This window comes from Homo sapiens, chromosome 9 (assembly GCF_000001405.40).
Source record: "Homo sapiens chromosome 9, GRCh38.p14 Primary Assembly".
Taxonomy (NCBI): Eukaryota; Metazoa; Chordata; class Mammalia; order Primates; family Hominidae; genus Homo; species Homo sapiens.
The window spans coordinates 135,425,079-135,444,971 of record NC_000009.12 but is presented as its reverse complement, the minus strand read 5'-3'; the positions used below and the strand labels follow the sequence as shown (position 1 = coordinate 135,444,971).

General features: G+C 44.2%; 1 long non-coding RNA gene across 1 annotated transcript; it reads left to right on the top strand.

Moving 5' to 3' along the window:
- Positions 1 to 720: 720 nt before the first annotated feature.
- On the top strand, positions 721 to 7,845 carry LOC124902306 (uncharacterized). Its single transcript, XR_007061850.1, has 2 exons — positions 721 to 1,102; positions 6,904 to 7,845. It is a non-coding gene; the product is annotated as an uncharacterized LOC124902306 (long non-coding RNA).
- The last annotated feature ends 12,048 nt before the right edge of the window (positions 7,846 to 19,893 follow it).

The window sequence follows — 19,893 nt, the reverse complement described above, 5'->3', positions numbered from 1 at the left end:
AGAAGAATTCCTGGACCATTTGGTTATTCTTTTTTTGCTTTTGTGAGGAAATGTCATAGTATTTCCCCAAGCAGCTGTACCATTTTATATTCTCATCAACAGTACGCAAATGAGTTTTTGTTTGTTTGTTTTGAGACAGGGTCTGGCTCTGTCCCCCAGGCTGGAGTGCAGTGGGGCCACCTCCACCTCCAAGGCTCAAGCGATCCTCCCACCTCAGTCTCCCGAGTAGCTGGGACCACAGGCACACACCACCATGCCTGGCTAATTTTCGTATTTTTTTTGTAGAGATAGAGTCTTGCTATGTTGCCCAGGCTGGTCTCAAACTCTTGGGCTCAAGTGATTTCCCGTCTTGACCTCCCAAAGTTCTAGAATTACCGGTGTCAGCCACCGTGTACGGCCCTGCAAATGTTTCAATTTCTTTACAGCTTCACCAACACTTTTTTTTTTTAGCAGTAGCCATCCTAATGGGTGTGAGGTGGTGAGGCGAGAAGCCATTTCTCTTACTGTCTCCTGTCTCTGAAAAAGAGGAGGAAGTAAAAGTTGAAAAACAACAGGAATGAAGTCAGTGGCAAGACCAGCTTGTGCCACTGATGACCCGGCCTGAGGTTAAAAGATTAAGCCCCGCCCCCCCCACTCTAACCACAGGTGCTCTCAATCCATCACGACCCTTTCACGTGGAACCACTTAGCCCTTAAAAGGGCCAGGAACTCTGTCTTCGGGGAGCTGGGCTCTTAAGACACCAGTCGGCCAATGCTCCCGGCCGAATGAAAAAACCTCTTCCTTCTTTAATCCGGTGTCTGAGGAGTTTTGTCTGCCGCTGGTCCTGTTACATTTCTTGGTTCCCTGACTGGGAAACGAGGTGATTAACGGACCGTTGAGGCAGCCCTTTAGGCCGCTTAGGCCTGCCCTGTGGAGCATCCCTGCGGGGGACTCCGACCAGCTCCAGCAACGCGGATCCTGAGAGCGCTCCCACGTAGGAAATTGCCCCGGTGGAACGCCTCGTCAGAGCAGCGCGTGGCAGGCCCCGGTGGAGGTTCAACGCAATGGCTGAACACCGGGAAGGAACTGGCACTGAACATCTGGTCTGGACATCTGAAACTTGGTAAGACTGGTCTTTGGAACTTGCCCACTCCATTTGAGTGGAAGTGTGGCTTGATCACCCATGGTGTGCCTGTACCGGCACTTTGGTTCTTGTTTTTGACTTGACTTGGATTGCTTGATACTTTGGTTTTGGTTTTGACCTGGCTTGGATTTCTGGATACTCCAGTTTTGGTTTTGATTCTGGTCTGGTGTAAACTGAGAAAGTGTGTGTGTGCCTTTTTTACCTGTTCTTTGTTCTGTGGTGTGCGTGTGGTGTGAGCGTGGTGTTTTGTCTCGAGGAAACGGGTCAGACACAAAGTAAGCCCACTCCGCTAGGAACTATGTTGAAAAATTTCAAGGAAGGATTTAATGGAGACTATGGGGTTACTATGACACCAGGGAAACTTAGAACTTTGTGTGAAATAGATTGGCCAACATTAGAAGTGGGTTGGCCATCAGAAGGAAGCCTGGACAGTTCCCTTGTTTCTAAGGTGTGGCACAAGGTAACCGGTAAAGGATACCTAGACCAGTTCCCATACATAGACACTTGGTTACAGCTGGTGCTAGACCCCCCACAGTGGCTAAGAGGGCAGGCAGCAGCAATGCTAGTAGCAAAGGGACAGATAGCCAAGGAAGGATCCCGCTCCACCCGCCCAGGGAAATCAACTCCTGAAGTTCTGTTTGACCCAACATCAGAAGATCCATTGCAGGAGATGGCACCAGTGATCCCAGTGGTGCCCTCCCCTTACCAGGGAGAGAGGCTCCCCAGTCTTGAGCCCACAGTGCTTGCACCTCTGCAAGACAAGCATATCCCTAGGCCACCCAGAATAGACAAGAGAGGAGGTGAAGCCTCGGGAGAAACCCCTCCCTTGGCAGCTCGTTTAAGACCCAAAACTGGGATACAAATGCACCTGAGAGAGCAGCAGTATACTGGGAGAGATGAGGATGGTCACATGGTGGAGAGGCGTGTTTTTGTGTACCAGCCCTTCACCTCTGCCGACCTTCTCAACTGGAAAAACAATACCCCGTCCTATACCGAAAAGCCACAAGCTCAAATTGATTTGCTCCCAACTATTATGCAGACCCATAACCCCACTTGGGCTGATTGCCACCAGCTGCTCATGTTCCTCTTTAATGCAGATGTAAGGTGGAGAGTGCTCCAAGCAGCAACTAAGTGGCTAGAGGAACATGCACCAGCTGATTATCAAAACCCCCAAGAGTATGTAAGGACCCAGTTACCAGGAACCGACCCCCAGTGGGGCCCAAATGAAAGAGAGGATATGCAAAGGCTAAAGGGAGACAGGGAAGCTGTCTTGGAAGGGTTAAAGAGGGGAGCTCAGAAGACCACAAACGTTAACAAGGTCTCTGAGGTCATTCAGGGAAAAGAAGAAAGTCCAGCACAATTCTCTGAGAGACTGTGTGAGGCCTATCGCATGTATACTCCCTTTGATCCCGATAGCCGTGAAAATCAGCGCATGATTCAAATGGCTTTAGTTAAAGCGCAGAAGACATTAGAAGAAAACTGCAGAAACAGACTGGGTTTGCAGGGATGAACACATCAGTTACTAGAAATAGCTAACCAGGTGTTTGTAAACAGGGATGCAGTAAGCCGTAAGGAAAACCGCAAAGAGAATGAACGTCAGGCCTGGCGAAAGGCCGACCTGTTAGCTGCAGCAATCAGAGGGGTCCCCCCAAAGAGGCCAGGGAAGGGGGCCCTGGGAAAAAACTCAACTTGGTTGTCAGAGCTTGCAGAGTAACCAGTGTGCTTATTGTAAAGAAATAGGATATTGGAAGAACAAATGCCCTCAGCTAAAAAGAAAACAAGGTGACTCAGAGCAGGAGGCCCCAGACGAGGAGGAAGGGGCCCTGCTCAACCTGGCAGAAGGGTTATTGGACTCAGGGGGACCGGGCTCAAGTGCCCCGAAAGAGCCTATGGTCAGCATGACAGTCGGGGGTAAAGACATTGATATTCTTGTAGATACCGTTGCTGAACATTCGGTAGTAACCGCCCCAGTTGCCCCCTTATCCAAAAAGACTATTGACATCATCGGAGCCATGGGGGTTTCAGCAAAGCAAGCTTTCTGCTTGCCTCGGACTTGTGCTGTAGGAGGACATACAGTGATTCGTCAGTTTCTGTACATGCCTGACTGTCCCTTGCCCTTGTTGGGAAGGGACTTGCTTAGCAAGCTGAGAGCCACTGTCTCTTTTACAGAGCATGGCTCTTTGCTGCTAAAGTTACCCGGAACGGGAGTCGTTATGACCCTTATGGTCCCCTGAGAGGAGGAATAGAGACTTTTCTTAACTGAGCCGGGCCAAGAGATAAGACCAGCTTTGGCTAAGCGGTGGCCAAGAGTGTGGGCGGAAGACAACCCTCCAGGATTGGCAGTCAACCAAGCCCCTGAATATGGAAGTTAAGCCTGGGGCCCAGCCGGTTAGGCAAAAACAGTCCCCAGTCCCCAGAGAAGCTCTTAAAGGTATCCAGGTTCGCCTCAAACACCTAAGAACTTTTGGAATTATAGTTCCTTGTCAGTCTCCATGGAACACTCCCCTCCTGCCTGTTCCCAAGCCAGGGACCAAGGACTACAGGCCGGTACGGGATTTGTGCTTGGTTAATCAAGCTACAGTGACTTTCCATCCAACAGTACCTAACCCGTCCACATTGTTGGGGTTGCTGCCAGCTGAGGACAGCTGGTTCACCTGCTTGGACCTAAAAGACGCTTTCTTTAGTATCAGATTAGCCCTTGAGAGCCAGAAGCTGTTTGCCTTTCAGTGGGAAGATCCGCAGTGAGGTGTCACTACTCAGTACACTTGGACCCGGCTTCCCCAAGGGTTTAAGAACTCCCCCACCATCTTCGGGGAGGCGTTGGCTCGAGACCTCCAGAAGTTTCCCACCAGAGACCTAGGCTGCGTATTGCTCCAGTATGTTGATGACCTTTTGCTGGGACACCCCATGGCAGTTGGGTGCGCCAAGGGAACGGCTGCCCTACTCCGGCACCTGGAGGACCGTGGGTATAAGGTGTCCAAGAAAAAAGCTCAGATCTGCTGACAGCAGATATGTTACTGGGATTTACTGTCCGACAGGGGGAGCGCAGCCTGGGATCAGAAAGAAAGCAGGTTATTTGCCATCTAGCGGAGCTTAAGAGCAGAAGGCAGGTGAGAGAATTCTTAGGACCTGTGGGGTTTTGTAGACTGTGGATCCCAAACTTTGCAGTATTAGCCAAGCATTTGTATGAGGTCACAAAGGGGGCGGGGACCGGGAACCTTTTGAATGGGGATCCCAACAACAGCAAGCCTGACTTAAAGAAAAAACGTACGTCAGCCCCAGCCCTGGGGCTGCCCGATCTGACAAAACCTTTTACATTGTATGTGTCAGAGAGAGAAAAGGTGGCACGTGGAGTTTTAACCCAAACTGTGGGGCCCTGGCCGAGGCCGGTGGCCTACCTCTCTAAACAACTAGATGGGGTTCCTAAAGGATGGCCCCCGTGTTTGAGGGCCTTGGCAGCAACTGCCCTGCTAGTACAAGAAGCAAATAAGCTGACTCTTGGGCAACACCTGAACATAAAGGCCTCCCGTGCTGTGGTGACTTTAATGAATACTAAAGGACATCATTGGCTAACGAATGCCACACTCACCAAGTACCAAAGTTTTCTCTGTGAAAATCCCCGTATAACCACTGAAGTTTGTAACATCTTGAACCCTGCCACTTTGCTCCCGGTGTTGTACCCGAGTGAATTAGAAAAACGCCACACTTTGAGACGAGTTAAGAGTCCTAACGCCACACTTTGAGACGAGTTAAGAGTCCTTTATTAGCTGGTGACCGAGAGAAAGCTAACGCTCAAAATTCTCTCGGCCCCGAGGAAGGGACTTGATTAATTTTTATACCCTGGTTTAGGAAGGGGAGTAGGGGGGTCTGGTTAAAACAATTTTACAGAAGTTAAGTAGTCAAAAAGTTAAAAGGATAAATGGTTACAGGAAAGTAAACAGTTCCAGGTGCAGGGGCTTTAAGACTATTACAAGGTGATAGATGCGGGGCTTTGGGCATTATCAATCAGATGAATTCTGGGGGACTGCGGATATAGCTTGCCACAGTATCTTATCAGTTAATTGCATTCTTGGATGTGCTGGGAGTCAGCTTGCACAAGTTAAGTCCTTGAGGAAGGGGCTGCCAATGAAAGAGCCAAGATGGAGTCTGTCTGGTTCTCTTAGCTAAGGGAGAGTCCATTCAGGTGGCAACAATGCTGCGTGATTAAAGGAAAAGGGGGAGTCTAAAAACAGGGTTAGTAAAAACGAGTTTGGGCGTTACACCGGTATCAGAGAGCCCTGTCGAGCATGATTGTGTAGAAGTGTTAGATTCAATTGACTCTAGCAGACCTGACCTCCGGGACTGGCCTTGGGCATCAGTAGACTGGGAACTATACGTGGACGGGAGCAGCTTCATCAACCCACAAGGAGAGAGATGTGCAGGGTATGCAGTGGTAACCCTGGACACCGTTGTTGAAGCCAGATCATTGCCCCAGGGCACTTCAGCCCAGAAAGCTGAACTCATTGCTTTCATTCGGGCCTTAGAGCTCAGGGAGGGTGAGACTGTCAACATTTACAGTGATTCTCGGTATGCCTTTTTAACCCTTCAAGTGCATGGTGCATTATATAAAGAAAAGGGCCTATTGAACTCTGGGGGAAAAGACATAAAATATCAACAAGAAATCTTGCAATGATTAGAAACAATATGGAAACCCCACAAGGTGGCAGTTATGCATTGCAGAGGACACCAGCGAGCTTCCACCTTGGTGGGTTTGGGGAATCCCCGCAGTGACTCAGAGGCTCAAAAAGCAGCATCTGCCCCCTTCTGGGCATCAGTCACAGCGCCTCTGCTCCCTCAAGCACCTGATCTTGTACCTACTTCTTCTAAAGATGAAAAGGACTTTCTCCAGGTAGAGGGAGGACAAGTGATGGAGGAAGGATGGATTCGGTTACCAGATGGGAGAGTAGCTGCACCACAGCTGCGAGGAGCTGCAGTTGTACTGGCTGTGCAGGAAACCACCCATCGAGGTCAGGAGTCACTGGAAAAGTTGTTAGGCCGGTATTTCTACATCTCGCATTTGTCAGCCCTTGCCAAAACGGTGATGCAGCAGTGTGTTACCTGCCAACAGCATCATGCGAGGCGAGGTCCAGCCATTCCACCCGGCATACAAACTTACGGAGCAGCCCCCTTTGATAGATCTCCAGGTGGACTTCACAGAAATGCCAAAGTGTGGAGGTAACAAGTATTTACTAGTTCTCGTGTGTACCCACTCTGGGTGGGTGGAGGCTTATCCAACACGAACTGAGAAACCTCGTGAAGTAACCCGTGTGCTTCTTCAAGATCTGATTCCTAGATTTGGACTGCCCTTATGGATCGGCTCAGATAACGGGCCTGCGTTTGTGGCTGACTTGGTACAGAAGATGGCAAAGGTATTGGGGATCACATGGAAACTGCATGCCGCCTACCGGCCTCAGAGTTCCGGAAAGGTGGAGCGGATGAATCGGACTATCAAAAATAGTTTAGGGAAAGTACGTCAAGAAACAGGATTAAAATGGATACAGGCTCTCCCTATGGTATTATTTAAAATTAGGTGTACCTCTTCTAAAAGAACAGGATATTCCCCTTATGAAATATTAATCATGGACCCTCTCCCTTATCGTGGGGACTTCCAGGAGAGTTAGGTGAGACTGAGTTACAGCGACAGCTACATGCTTTAGGAAAAATTACACAAACAATCTCAGCCTGGGTAAATAAGAGATGCCCTGTTAGCTTATTCTCCCCAGTTCACCCTTTCTCCCCAGGAGATCGAGTATGGATCAAGGACTGGAACGTAGCCTCTTTGTGCCCACGGTGGAAAGGACCCCAGACTGTCATCCTGACCACTCCCACCGCTGTGAAGGTAGAGGGAATCCCAGCCTGGATCCACCGCAGCCGTGTAAAACCTGCAGCGCCTGAAACCTGGGAGGCAAGACCAAGCCTGGACAACCCTTGCAGAGTGACCCTGAAGAAGACGACAAGCCCTGCTCCAGTCACACCCGGAAGCTGACTGGTCCACGCATGGCTGAAGCATGAGGAAGCTCATCGTGGAACTCATTTTTCATAAATTTTGGACTTGTACAGTAAGGACTTCAACTGACCTTCCTCAGACTGAGGTAGGGCAAAAAGTTAAAACAGTCTTTGTTTAAAAGGGACTTGTGTGTATAATGCCACCCAGTACAAGGTATGCAGCCCAGGAAGTGACCAGACTGATGTGTGCTATAACCCATTAGAACTACTTAATCCCCATTGGAAAAGAGGAGAGTATGTAACTCTAGGAGTCAATGGAACTGGACTGGCAGGAAGATCTGGGTAATGTAGATGAGAGTGAGAACTTCCACTAGTGAGTGAGGTTCTCAAAGAGGGGAATGAGGAGATAAGCCATTTCTCTTACTGTCTCCTGTCTCTGAAGAGGAGGAGGAAGAAAAAGTTGTAAAACAGCAGGAATGAAGTCAGTGCCAAGACCAGCCAGTGCCACTGATGACCCAGCCTGAGGTTAAAAGATTAACCATCCCCCCCACACCGCCCCCTCCGCCCGCCCACTCTAACCACATGTGCTTTCAATCCATCACGACCTTTTCGCATGGAACCCCTTAGAGTTATAAGCCTTTAAAAGGGCCAGGAACTCTGTCTTTGGGGAGCTCTGCTCTTAAGACGCGAGTCTGTCAATGCTCCCGGCCAAATAAAAAAACCTCTTCCTTCTTTAATCCAGCATCCGAGGAGTTTTGTCTGCAGCTCGTCCTGTTACAGTGGTATGTAATTGTAGTTTTGATACACTTTTCCCTAATGACTAGTGCTGTTGAGTGCCTTTTCATGCACTTATTGTCCACTTGTATATCTTCTTTGGAATAATATCTGTTCAAGTCCTTCCCATTTTTTACTTGTGGTTTTTTTTGTTTGTTTTGTGTTTTGAGATGGAGTCTCATTCTGTCACCAGGCTGGAGTACAGTGGTGCAATCTCGGCTCACTGCAACCTCCACCTCTTGGGTTCAAGCGATTCTCCTGCCTCAGCCTCCCTAGTAGTAGCTGGGATTACAGGTGCCCACCACCACGTCCAGCTAATCTTTGTATTTTTAGTAGAGATGGGGTTTCACCATGTTGCCCAGGCTTGTCTGGAATTCCTGACCTCAGGTGATCCGCCCGCCTCAGCCTCCCAAAGTTCTGAGATTACAGGTGTAAGCCACTACAATTGTGTTTTTTTTTGTTGTTGTTAAATCTTAGGAGTTCCCTATATATTCTAGATATTAATCCCTTATTAGATACATGATTTTCAAATATTTTCATCCATTCTGTAGGTTGCCTTTTAATTTTGTTGGTAGTGACTTTTGATGCATAAAAATTTTAAATTTTCATGAAGTCTAAGTGGTCTATTTTTTCTTCTGTTGCCTGTGTCTTTACTGTCATCCAAGAAATCATCACCAAATCCAATGTTTTGAAGCATTTGCTCTGTGTTTTATAGTTTTAGGTCTTACATTTAGGTCTTTGGTCCATTTTGAGTTAATTTTTCTATATGGTGTAAGGAAAGGGCCCAACTTTATTCTTTTGCATGTGATTATCTGGTTTTCCCAGCACCATTTGTTGAAAAGATCATTGTTTCCACATTGAATGGTCTTGGCACTCTCTCAGAAATCATTTGACCATGTATGCAAGTGTTTATTTCTGGGTTCTCTATTCCATTCCTTTGGTCTATATGTCTTTATGCCAGTACCGCACTCTTTTGATGACTGCAACTCTGTAGTGAGTTTTGAAATCAGAAAGTGTGGGTCCTTCAGCTTTGTTTGTCTTTTTGAAGATTGTTTTGGCTATTTGGGGTCCCTTGAGATTCCATATGAATTTTAGAATGAGTTTTCCTCTTTCGGCCAAAAACATCATTGGGATTTTGATAGGAATTGCATTGAATCTATAGATCACTTAGGGTAGTATTGACATCTTAACAATATTACAACTTCCAATCTGTTAACACAGGGTGTGTTTTTGTTTGTTTATGTTTTCTTATTTCTTTCAACAATTTTTTTTTTTTAATTTTCTTTGTACAAGGCTTTCACCTTCTTGGTTAATTCCTAAAAATTTCATTCTTTCTGATGCTATTGTGGATGGAATTGTTTTCATAATTTCCTTTTCTGGTTGTTCTTTGTTAGTGTACATAAATGAAACTGATTTTTATGTGCTGACTTTGTATCCTGAAATTTTGCTGAATTCATGTATACTGTGTGTATGTGGAATCCTTGGAGTTTTCTTTCTTTCTTTTTTTTTTTTTTTTGAGATGGAGTCTCGCTCTGTCGCCCAGGCTGGAGTGTAGTGGTGAGATCTTGGCTCACTGCAGCCTCCACCTCCCGGGTTCAAGCAATTTTCTGGCCTCAGCCTTCCGAGTAGCTGGGATTACAGGCATGAGCCACCACACTGGCCCATCCTTGGAGTTTTCTACATACATTATATCGGCTGTGAACAGAGATAGTTTAGTTACTTCTTCCTTTTCAATTTGGATAGGATACGTTTTATTTCTTCTTCTAGCCTAATTGCTCTGGCTGGAGCTTCCAGAACTATGTTGAATGGGAGTGGCAAAAGCAGGCATCCTTGTCTCGTTCCTGATCTTAGAGGAGCTAAAACTTTTAGTCTTTCACCATTGAGTGTACTGTTCACCGTGGGATTTTCATATATGGCTTTTATTATGTGAGGTAATTTTCTGCTCTTGCTAGTTTGTGAGAGGGTTTTTTGTTTGTTTTTTTCACAAAAATGTGTTGGATTTTGTCAAATGCTTTTTTATTTTTTTCATCTATTGAGAGGATCATGTGGTTTCTCCCTTCATTTTGTTGATATGGTTTATACATTGGATCAGTTCTTTTTTTTTTTTTTTTTGAGATGGAGTCTTCCTCTGTCATCCAGGCTGCAGTGCAGTGGCGTGATCTTGGCTCACTGCAATCTCCACCTCCCGGGTTCACGCCATTCTCCTGCCTCAGCCTCCTGAGTAGCTGGGATTACAGGTGCCCACCACCATGCCCGGCTAAGTTTTGTATTTTTAGTAGAGACAGGGTTTCACTGTGTTAACCAGGATGGTCTCGATCTCCTGACCTCGTGATCCACCCGCCTCAGCCTCCCAAAGTGCTGGGATTACAGATGTGAGCCACCGTGCCTGGCCCATGGATCGGTTTTTTATGTGTTGGACTGTCCTGGGGAAGCTCCTAGTTTTAACGTGGTTAAACATTTCAATATTTTTTCTTGGTGGTTAACATTTTTTTTCCTTTGCCTGCTCTGAGGTTATAAGGTTGTTTCCTTACATTACTTTTAAAAATTGTTATTGTTTTCTTCTCCTGTTTAGCTTTATAGTCCATGTGGGACTAGCTTTTGTGCATAAGGTGAAGTAGGTATTATGTATGTTTTAAAAATTATGAATGTCTGGCCGGTCGCGGTGGCTCAGGCCTGTAATCCCAGCACTTTGGGAGTCTGAGGTGGGTGGATCATCTGAGGTCAGGAGTTCGAGACCAGCCTGGCCAATATGGTGAAACCCCATCTCTACTAAAAGTACCAAAATTAGCTGGGTGTGGTGGTGGGCGCCTGACATCCCAGCTACTCAGGAGGCTGAGGCAGAATTGCTTAGAACCCGGGAGGTGGAGGTTTCAGTGAGCTGAGATCTTGCCACTGCACTCCAGCGTGGGCAACAAGAAGGAAACTCTGCCTCAAAAAAAAAAAAAAAAATTTAATTGTCCCAGAACCATGAATTGAGGAAACCATTCATTCCTCAGTGACCTGCAGTAGCACTTTTGTTATAAATCAAGTGTCCATTTATGCAAAGATCTGGTTCTGGCTTCCATACTCTGTTTTCAAATCACACTGTTTCAGTTACTCAATCACTAGCTCCATTATCCATTCAGAAGTTGATGGGCATACTAATTTGGAGCAATTATGTAGTCATTTGGGTCTGGCTTCTTTCACTTAGCATAGTACATTAAAAAGTCATCCACGTGTCTGCATTTATCAGAAGTTTGTACCTTTGAATGGTTGGCTTGTGTTCCGTCGGATGTACAATAGTTGGTTTATCCACTCACCAGCTGATGGATATTTGGATTGTTTCCAGGTTTTGGCTGTTACAAACCACGCTGCCAAAAATGGTGTCTTTCTATGGACAGGTATTTCCTTTACTCTTGGGTAAACACCAAGGGGTGAAAGCCCTGGCTCATGTGGTAACTTTACGTGAAATTGCCAAATTGTTTTCCAAAGCAGCGGTACCATTTTGCATTCCTACCAGGAATGAACGAGAGTTTCAGTTTCTCCATATCCTCATCTGCTCTCCACATTGTCAGGGTGTGTGTTAATTTTAGTTATTTAAAGTGGTATGTGGTGATATCTCATATGGTTTTAATTTACATTCCCCTAATGACAAGTGATGTTCATTATCATTTGGGTGTTCATATGTCATCTGTGTATCTTCTTTCTTTTTTTTTTTTTTGAGACGGAGTCTCACTCTGTCTCCCAGGCTGAAGTGCAGTGGTGTGATCTCGGCTCACTGCAAGCTCCGCCTCCTGGGTTCATGCCATTCTCCTTCCTCAGCCTCCCTAGTAGCTGGGACTACAGGCGCCCGCCACCACGCCTGGCTAATTTTTTTCTTTTGGATATTTAGTACTAAGAGACAGGGTTTCACCATGTTAGCCAGGATGGTCTCGATCTCCTGACCTTGTGATCCACCCACCTCAGCCTCCCAAAGTGCTGGGATTACAGGCGTGAGCCACCCTGCCTGGCCATCTGTGTATCTTCTTTAGTGAAGTGTCTATTCATATTTTTCTCCCAATTTTAAAATTAGAAAAAAATTTGTTTTCTTACTCTGGAATTCTTTCATATTCTGGATTCATGCCTTTTATCAGATATGTGTGTTGCAAACTTTTTTTTCTCAGTCTGTGGCTTATCTTTTCATTTTCTTAATAGTGGTGCTAGCACAGCAGACATTTTTAATTTTCAATAAAGTATACTTTATAGTGTTTTTCTTTTCTGATTCATGCTTTTGAGTCGTACCTAAGAAATCTTTGCCTGACCCAAGGCCATTAATATGGTTTGGCTGTGTCCCCACCCAAATCTCATCTTGAATTGTAGCTGCCATAATTCCCACATGTTGTGGGAGGGACCTGGTGGGAGATAATTGAATCATGGGAGCAGTTTCCCCCATAGTGTTCTCGTGATAGAGAATAAGTCTCATGAGATCTGGTGATTTTATAAGGGGCTTCCCCTTTTGCTTGGTTCTCGTTCTCTCTTGCCTGCTGCCATGAAAGATGTGACTTTTGCCTTCTGCCATGATTGTGAGGCCTCCCCAGCCACGTGGAACTGTGAGTCCATTAAACCTCTTTTTCTTTATAAATTACCCAGTCTTGGGCCAGGTATGGTGGCTCACGCCGGTAATCCCAGCACTTTGGGAGGCCGAGGCGGGCGGATCACCTGTGGTCGGGAGTTTGCAACCAGCCTGACCAACATGGAGAGACCCTGTCTCTACTAAAAATACAAAATTAGCTGGGTGTGGTGGCACATGTCTGTAATCCCAGCTACTTGGGAGGCTGAGGCAGGAGAATCGCCTGAACCCGGGAGGCGGACGTTGTCGTGAGATCGTGCCATTGCACTCCAGCCTGGGCAACAAGAGCAAAACTCTGTCTTAAAAAAAAAAAAATTACCCAGTCTTGGGTATGTCTTTATCTTTATCAGCAGCATGAAAACGGACTAATACAGCCATTAAGATTTTCTCCTATGCTTTCCTTGGTGGTTAACATTTTTTTCCTTTGCCTGACTTTACTGCATTAACTAGGAAGTACAGTGTTAATCAGAAATGATGGCAGCAGACTTTCATGTCTCATTTCTGTTCTCCAGAATTTCACCAAGTGAGGTGTTTGCTGTATTACTTATTTCTAGTTCCATCTTATTCCTAGTTTGTAGTTTGTAGGTTGCTACAAACTCTTAAAAATCATGAATAGATTCTGAATTTTATAGAATACATGTTGAATTTCTTCACGATTAAGATGTTCAAATGATTTTTTCATCTTTAAAGATATTTACATTTATTTATTTTTTAAAATTTCAGCATATTGTACCTGTAAACATCTTTATTTTTTCATTGTTGTGAGTGACACTGATGTATCTTCAAATGTCAACAACTTGAAATTCCTGGAATACATTTGATTGTCATATTATTCCTTGTATGTATTACTTACTGGGCTGGACTTAAATAGTTAAATAGTTACAGGAATACTTAGGAACTGTATTCGCATCCATTTTGGTAAGTTATATTTTTGTTTTCTTTCTTTCTTTTTTTTTTTTTAATTGAGACATTATCTCACTCTGTCGCCCAGGCTGGAGTGCAGTGGCATGATCTCGGCTCACTTCAGCCTCCGCCTTCTGGGTTCAAGCGATTCTCCTGCCTCAGCCTCCTGAGTAACTGGGAGTACAGGCCCGCACCACCACGCCCGGCTAACTTTTTGTATTTTTAGTAGAGACAGGGTTTCATCATGTTTGCCAGACTGGTCTCGATCTCCTGACCTTGTGATCTGCCCACCTCAGCCTCCCAAAGTGCTGGGATTACAGGCGTGAGCCACTGCGCCTGGCCCGGTAAGTTGTATTTTTCTTAGAATTTGTCTGTTAAATGTTATTTTCAAACATATTGGCATGGAGCTGCACTCCACACCATTTTCACAGCTGCCGTGTGTGTGTAGGGTCTGTGGTCTTGCCACTTTTATTGCCGTTATTGGCTATTTGTGCATTGTGCCTCTCTCTCTTAAACAGCTTTATTAAGGAATAATTTATATCCCATAAAATTCATCTGTTGCAAGTATATGACTCAATTCAGTGGGTTTTTTTGTTTGTTTGTTTTTGAGATGGAGTCTCACTCTGTCTCCCAGGCTGGAATGCAGTGGTGCAATCTTGGCTCACTGCAATCTCTGCCTCCTGAGGTCAAGCGATTCTCCTGCCTCAGCCTCCCATGTAGCTTGGACTACAGGCATGCACCACCATGCTTGGCTAATTTTGTATTTTTAGTAGGGACGGGGCTTCACCATGTTGCCCAGGCTGGTCTCGAACTCCTCACCTCAGGTGATCCACCCACCTCGGCCTCCCAAAGTGCTGGGATTACAGGCATAAATCACTGTATCCAACCGATACATTGATTATTTTATCAATTTGAAGTGTTTCTCTTTATTGCCAGTCATGCTTTTTGCTTTAAAGTTTATTTTTCTAATATTAACATAGCCAGCTTTCATTTGGTTAGTGTTTGGATGCTATCTGTTCCCATTCTGTTACTTTCCATTTCTCAGTACACTTATGCTTATATTTTTTCTGTACGGAGTATATAGTTTTCCCATCCTGCAATCAACCTGATAATTCTAGATTGGCTATTATATTCTTTTTTTGTATTTTGAGATGGAGTTTTGCTCTTTCAGCCAGACTGGAGTGAAGTGGCGCGGTCTCGGCTCATTGCAACCTCTGCCTCCTGGGTTCAAGCAATTCTCCTGCCTCAGCCTCCCAAGTAACTGGGATTACAGGCTCCCACCACCATGCCTGGGTAATTTTTGTGTTTTTACTAGAGATGGAGTTTCATCATGTTGACCAGGCTGGTCTCGAACTCCTGACCTCAGATGATTCACCCATCTCAGCCTCTTAAAGTGCTAGGATTATAGGCGTGAGCCACTGTGACTGGCCGATTGGCTATTATATTCTTTTAGCCCTTCCAATATATCATTTCATTGTATTCTGGCTTCTTTGTTTCTTGTCAGAACTCAGCAATATTCTGAGGTTTGTAGATAAACTATTGTTTATTTCTTTGGCTGCTTAAGATTTTTTTATTGTAGAGTTTTTTAAAAGAGGTTACCCTATAGAAAATTCTAGTTATAGATTTATTTTTTATTCTCCTTCAGATTTATGAGTCTTCTTGAATCTATGAACTAGTAACTTTCATCAGTTTTGCAAATTTCTCAACTATGATCTCTTCAAATATTGCTACCCCACTCTCTCTCTCCTCTTCTTCTGGGACCCCAGTGAAATGTGCATTAGATTTTCTCACTTTGTCCTCCATGAATTTTACATTCTCTTCCATAGTTTCCATTTTTTCTTTTTATACATTCACTGTTCATTTATATTTGCCTACCTATTTCCATTTTTATTTTTCTTTATTCTTTCCTCCTCCATTTGAGATCATGTTTAGCTTTGTTATTTAGGAAGGTTAGGATTTTTGTGTTTAGTGTTGCCGTTATCATATATATTACATTTAGTCCTTTTTTTCTTTACAGGATATGTACTAGTAGGAAACCGTGAGCAATGATAAAATTAGCATAATTGCTCTTCCTCTCCTTTAACATCTAATTTTAGTTGCTTTTTTCTCCCATGTCCTGATAGACCAGTGACTGTTTTCAATCTTTTCAAGTAACTTTCTTAGGTGTAGTTCTTGTGTACAGCAGTCAGATTTTGCTTTTTGATATAATCTGAATATCAGTTTCTTTTAGTAGACGAGTTAAGCACATTTTACAGTTTTTAGCTTTTTTATTTAAAAATATGTAATTGACAAAAATGTATATATTTAAGGTGTGCAACATGATTTGACATACGTGTAATGATTGTCATAATGAAGTTAATTAATACTTCCATCACCACCCATTCTGTAATTAGATCCCCAGAATGTGTTCCTCTTATATCTGAAAGTTTGGACCCCTTCATGAATACTACCCTAGTTCCTCTAACCCCCCAGGCCCCACAATCACCGTTCTACTCTCAATTTCTATGAGTTTGACTTTCTGAGATTTCATGTACAAGGGATAATCATACAGTATTTGCCTTTCTGTGACTTATCTCACTTAGCATAATGTTTTTCAGGAAGCTCATTTACATTTAGTGATATGACAGATATTTTTTCTAGGTTTTTCACATTCTTTTATATTTTGTTTTCTCTTAGTTGTTTAAAAATGTCTTCCACAATGTGATGTCTTTGTTTTGCCTTTTTTAAAAAAATGTTCAATTATTCTCCTATTTAGGAGGGTTTATGGTTTTGTACTAGTGTTCAACTTTATTAATACAACCTAACATAATAACCTTTATTATAATAAAATATAAAAAATTTAAATAAACGTATATTTTTATGCCTTCTATTTCTTTAGACAGTATTAGTAGCTTACTGGGATCAAGAATAAAATTAGCATATTTCCTCCTCTTTTCTTTTCTTTTTTTTCTTTTTTTTTTTTTTTTGAGACAGAGTCTTGCTCTGTCGCCCAGGCTGGAGTGCACTGGCACCATCTCGGCTCACTACAAGCTCCGCCTCCCGGGTTCATGCCATTCTCCTGCCTCAGCCTCCCCAGCAGCTGGGACCACAGGTGCCCACCACCACGCCTGGCTAATTTTTTGTATTTTTAGTAGAGACGGGTTTTCACCATGTTAGCCAGGATGGTCTCAATCTCCTGACCTGGTGATCCATCTGCCTCGTCTCCCAAAGTGCTGGGATTACAGGCATGAGCCACCACACCTGGCCTCCTTCTCTTTTCTTTTACCACCTGACTTTAGTCAACAGCATCAAACTTCTTAGTATTTGAATTGTTAAATTGTCTTATACTGTTATTATCAGATATTTTGGAAGAACATTCATTGATTCCAAGTTTCTGTGATGAGGCAGCAACTTACTCTACCTTCCCCTATCTTTCCCTATTTTCCTCCAAATTTCCACACGCTCATGGCCTATAACATTTACTTCATTTTTGCCAGTGAGTTCTGCAATTAATATCTTCAATGCTCATCATCAATATTTTTTCAAGTTTCCCAGGCATCTCTTGGTAGTTTGCAATTTATCTTTCAGTTGTTTCTTCAAGAAGGGCCCATGGAAGCCACATTCCCAGAGTTCTCAAAAGTATTTTGTCTCTAAATTCATGCTCAAAACTGTTTATTTCCAGCTTTTAGAGTTTAAGAAAGTTGACTGCATAAGCATCACAGAGCCACAGTTCTTTCCTGAGGCTGTTTCTCTCTGTTGGTAGCTGTGCAGGATCTAAGGCTAGCCTATTTTTTCTTTTTTATATTAAGAGACTTGGGCCGGGCATGGTGGCTCACGCCTGTAATGCCAGCACTTTGGGAGGCTGAGGTGGGTGGATAACCTGAGGTCAGGAGTTCGAGACCAGCCTGGCCAACATGGTGAAACCCTGTCTATACTAAAAATATAAAAATTAGCCTGGTGTGGTGGCACATGCCTGTAATCCCAGCTACTCGGGAGGCTGAGGCCAGAGAATTGCTTCAATCTGTGAGGCGGAGGTTGTAGTGAGCCGAGATTGCGCCATTTAAAAAAAAAAAAAAAAAAAGGACTCCATCATTTTGCCTGATTGTCTCCAAAGATTCTTTTTTTAAATCGTTCTTTAATTAGATCTTTAAAATGTGTCCGCTCCATTGTCTCGTTTTTCTTTCTTATGGACTCCTGTAACGCAGGCATTGGATCTTCTTTGTCTCACATGTCTGTATCTTACTTTTTTATCCTTTTAGTAGCTGTCACTAATCTTATTTAATTTTTTCCCTAATTTCTGTCCTCATATAAGCCTCTCTGTATTTTCTTCAGGATTCCGTCTCTTGTTTTTCATCTTTATTTCTGTGATGTTCATTTATTTTTCAATTTTTCCCTGAATTTTGCCAGCTCACATTTTCTCCCTTGCCATTTTTCCCCTGAGGTTTTGTGTTTCTGTTTTATGGTCTTTATCATAGAGTTAAATGCTTTTTCAACACTTTAAAAATGATTTTTCACACTTTTTTTAAAAATTTTTATTTTTTGAGATAGAGTCTCACTCTTTCGCCCAGGCTGGTGGGCAGTGGCATAATCTCGGCTCACTGTAACTTCTGCCTCCCAGGTTCAAGTGATTCTCCTGCATCAGCCTCCCAAGTAGCTGGAACTACAGGTGACTGCTATCACGCCCAGCTAGAGTTTCACACTTTAAACTATCAGGTCATGGCCGGGCACAGTGGCTCACGCTTGTAATCCCAGCACTTTGGGAAGCCAAGGCGGGCGGATCATGAGGTCAGGAGATCGAGACCATCCCAGCTAACACGGTGAAACCCTGTCTCTACTAAAAATACAAAAAAAAAAAAAAAAAAAATCAGCCGGGTGTGGTGGGGGGCACTTGTAGTTCCAGCTACTTGGGAGGCTGAGGCAGGAGAATGGCTATGCTCTATCTTATGCTAAACAAGGGGTGGATTATTCCAGAGTTTTCTGGGAAAGGGGTGGCCAATTCCCAGAACTGAGGGTTCCTCCCCATTTTAGACCACATAGAGTAACTTCCTAATGTTGCCATGGCATTTGTAAACTGTCATGGTGTGGGTGGGAGTGTCTTTCAGCATGCTAATGCATTATAATTAGCGTAGAGTGAGCAATGAGGACGAACAGAGGCCACTCTCATCGCTGTCTTGGTTTTGCTGGGTTTTGGCCGGCTTCTTTATTGCATCTCATTTTATCAGTAAGGTGTTTGTGACCTGTATCTTGTGCTGACCTCCCATCCCATCCTGTGACTAAGAACGCCTAACCTCCTGGGAATGCAGCCCAGTAGGTCTGAGCTCTGTTTTACCCAGCCCCTATTCAAGATGGAGTTGCTCTGGTTCAAACACCTCTGACACGTAGTATCCACTATAAATAGAGTTAAAAATTTCCCTTTATTGTTTTATTAATATCTGATTTCTAGGTGATACAAATTCTGATTTACAAAGCCATATTCATAGCAGAAGGCCCACACTCATGCTTTTCAGGTAAATATTAAAGGCTTTTTTTTTTTTTTTTTTTTTAAATGATCCTTTAGGTGATTGTTCAGGTTTTTTTTGAGATGGAGTCTCGCTCTTGTCGCCCAGGCTGGAGTGCAATGGTGTGATCTCAGCTCACTGCAACTTTCTCCTCCAGGATTCAAGTGATTCTCCTGCCTCAGCCTCCTGAGTAGCTGGGATCACAGGCGCGCACCACCATGCCCAGTGAATTTTTGTATTTTTAGTAGAGACAGGGTTTCTCCATGTTGGCCAGGCTGGTCTCGAACTACTGACCTCAAGTGATCTGCCCACCTTGGCCTCCCAAAGTGCTGGGATTACAGGCATGAGCCACCATGCTGGGCCCAGGTTTATTTATTTATTTATTTTTTTAGCTAAAGCCAACGGTCATTTCTCCTGAAAGAAATTTTAGGGGTCATCTTGGTTTTAGGATTGTCTGTTGTAGCATTTTAACTTTTAAAAAAGTACATATTTTGGGTGGCAGAAGTGGGGAGATGTTGGCCAAAGGTACCAAGTTTCAGTTCTAAGTTGAGCACGTGCCAGGGAGCTAACCGATGGGGCCATGGTTACTGGCAAAGTGTTGTATACTTGTGTGAACCCCAAAGTATCTGAGACAGAGCTCAATCAATGTAGAAAGTTTATTTCACCAAGGTGAAGGACACACTTGTGACACAGACTCAGGAGGTCCTGAAGACATGTGCCCAACGTCGTTGGGGTACCAGCTTGCTTTTATACACGTTAGGGGTCAATACATGTAAGATTTACATTGGTTTCATCTAGAAGGGTGGGACAGGCCGGGCGTGGTGGCTCACGCCTGTAATCCCAGCACTTTGGGAGGCCGAGGTGGGTGGATCTCCTGAGGTCAGGAGTTCGAGACCAGCCTGGCCAACATGGTGAAACCCCGTCTGTACTAAAAATATAAAAATTAGCCGGGCCTGATGGCGCGCGCCTGTAATCCCAGCTACTCGGGAGGCTGAGACAGGAGAATCGCTTGAACAGGGAGGCGGAGGTTGCACAAGCCGAGA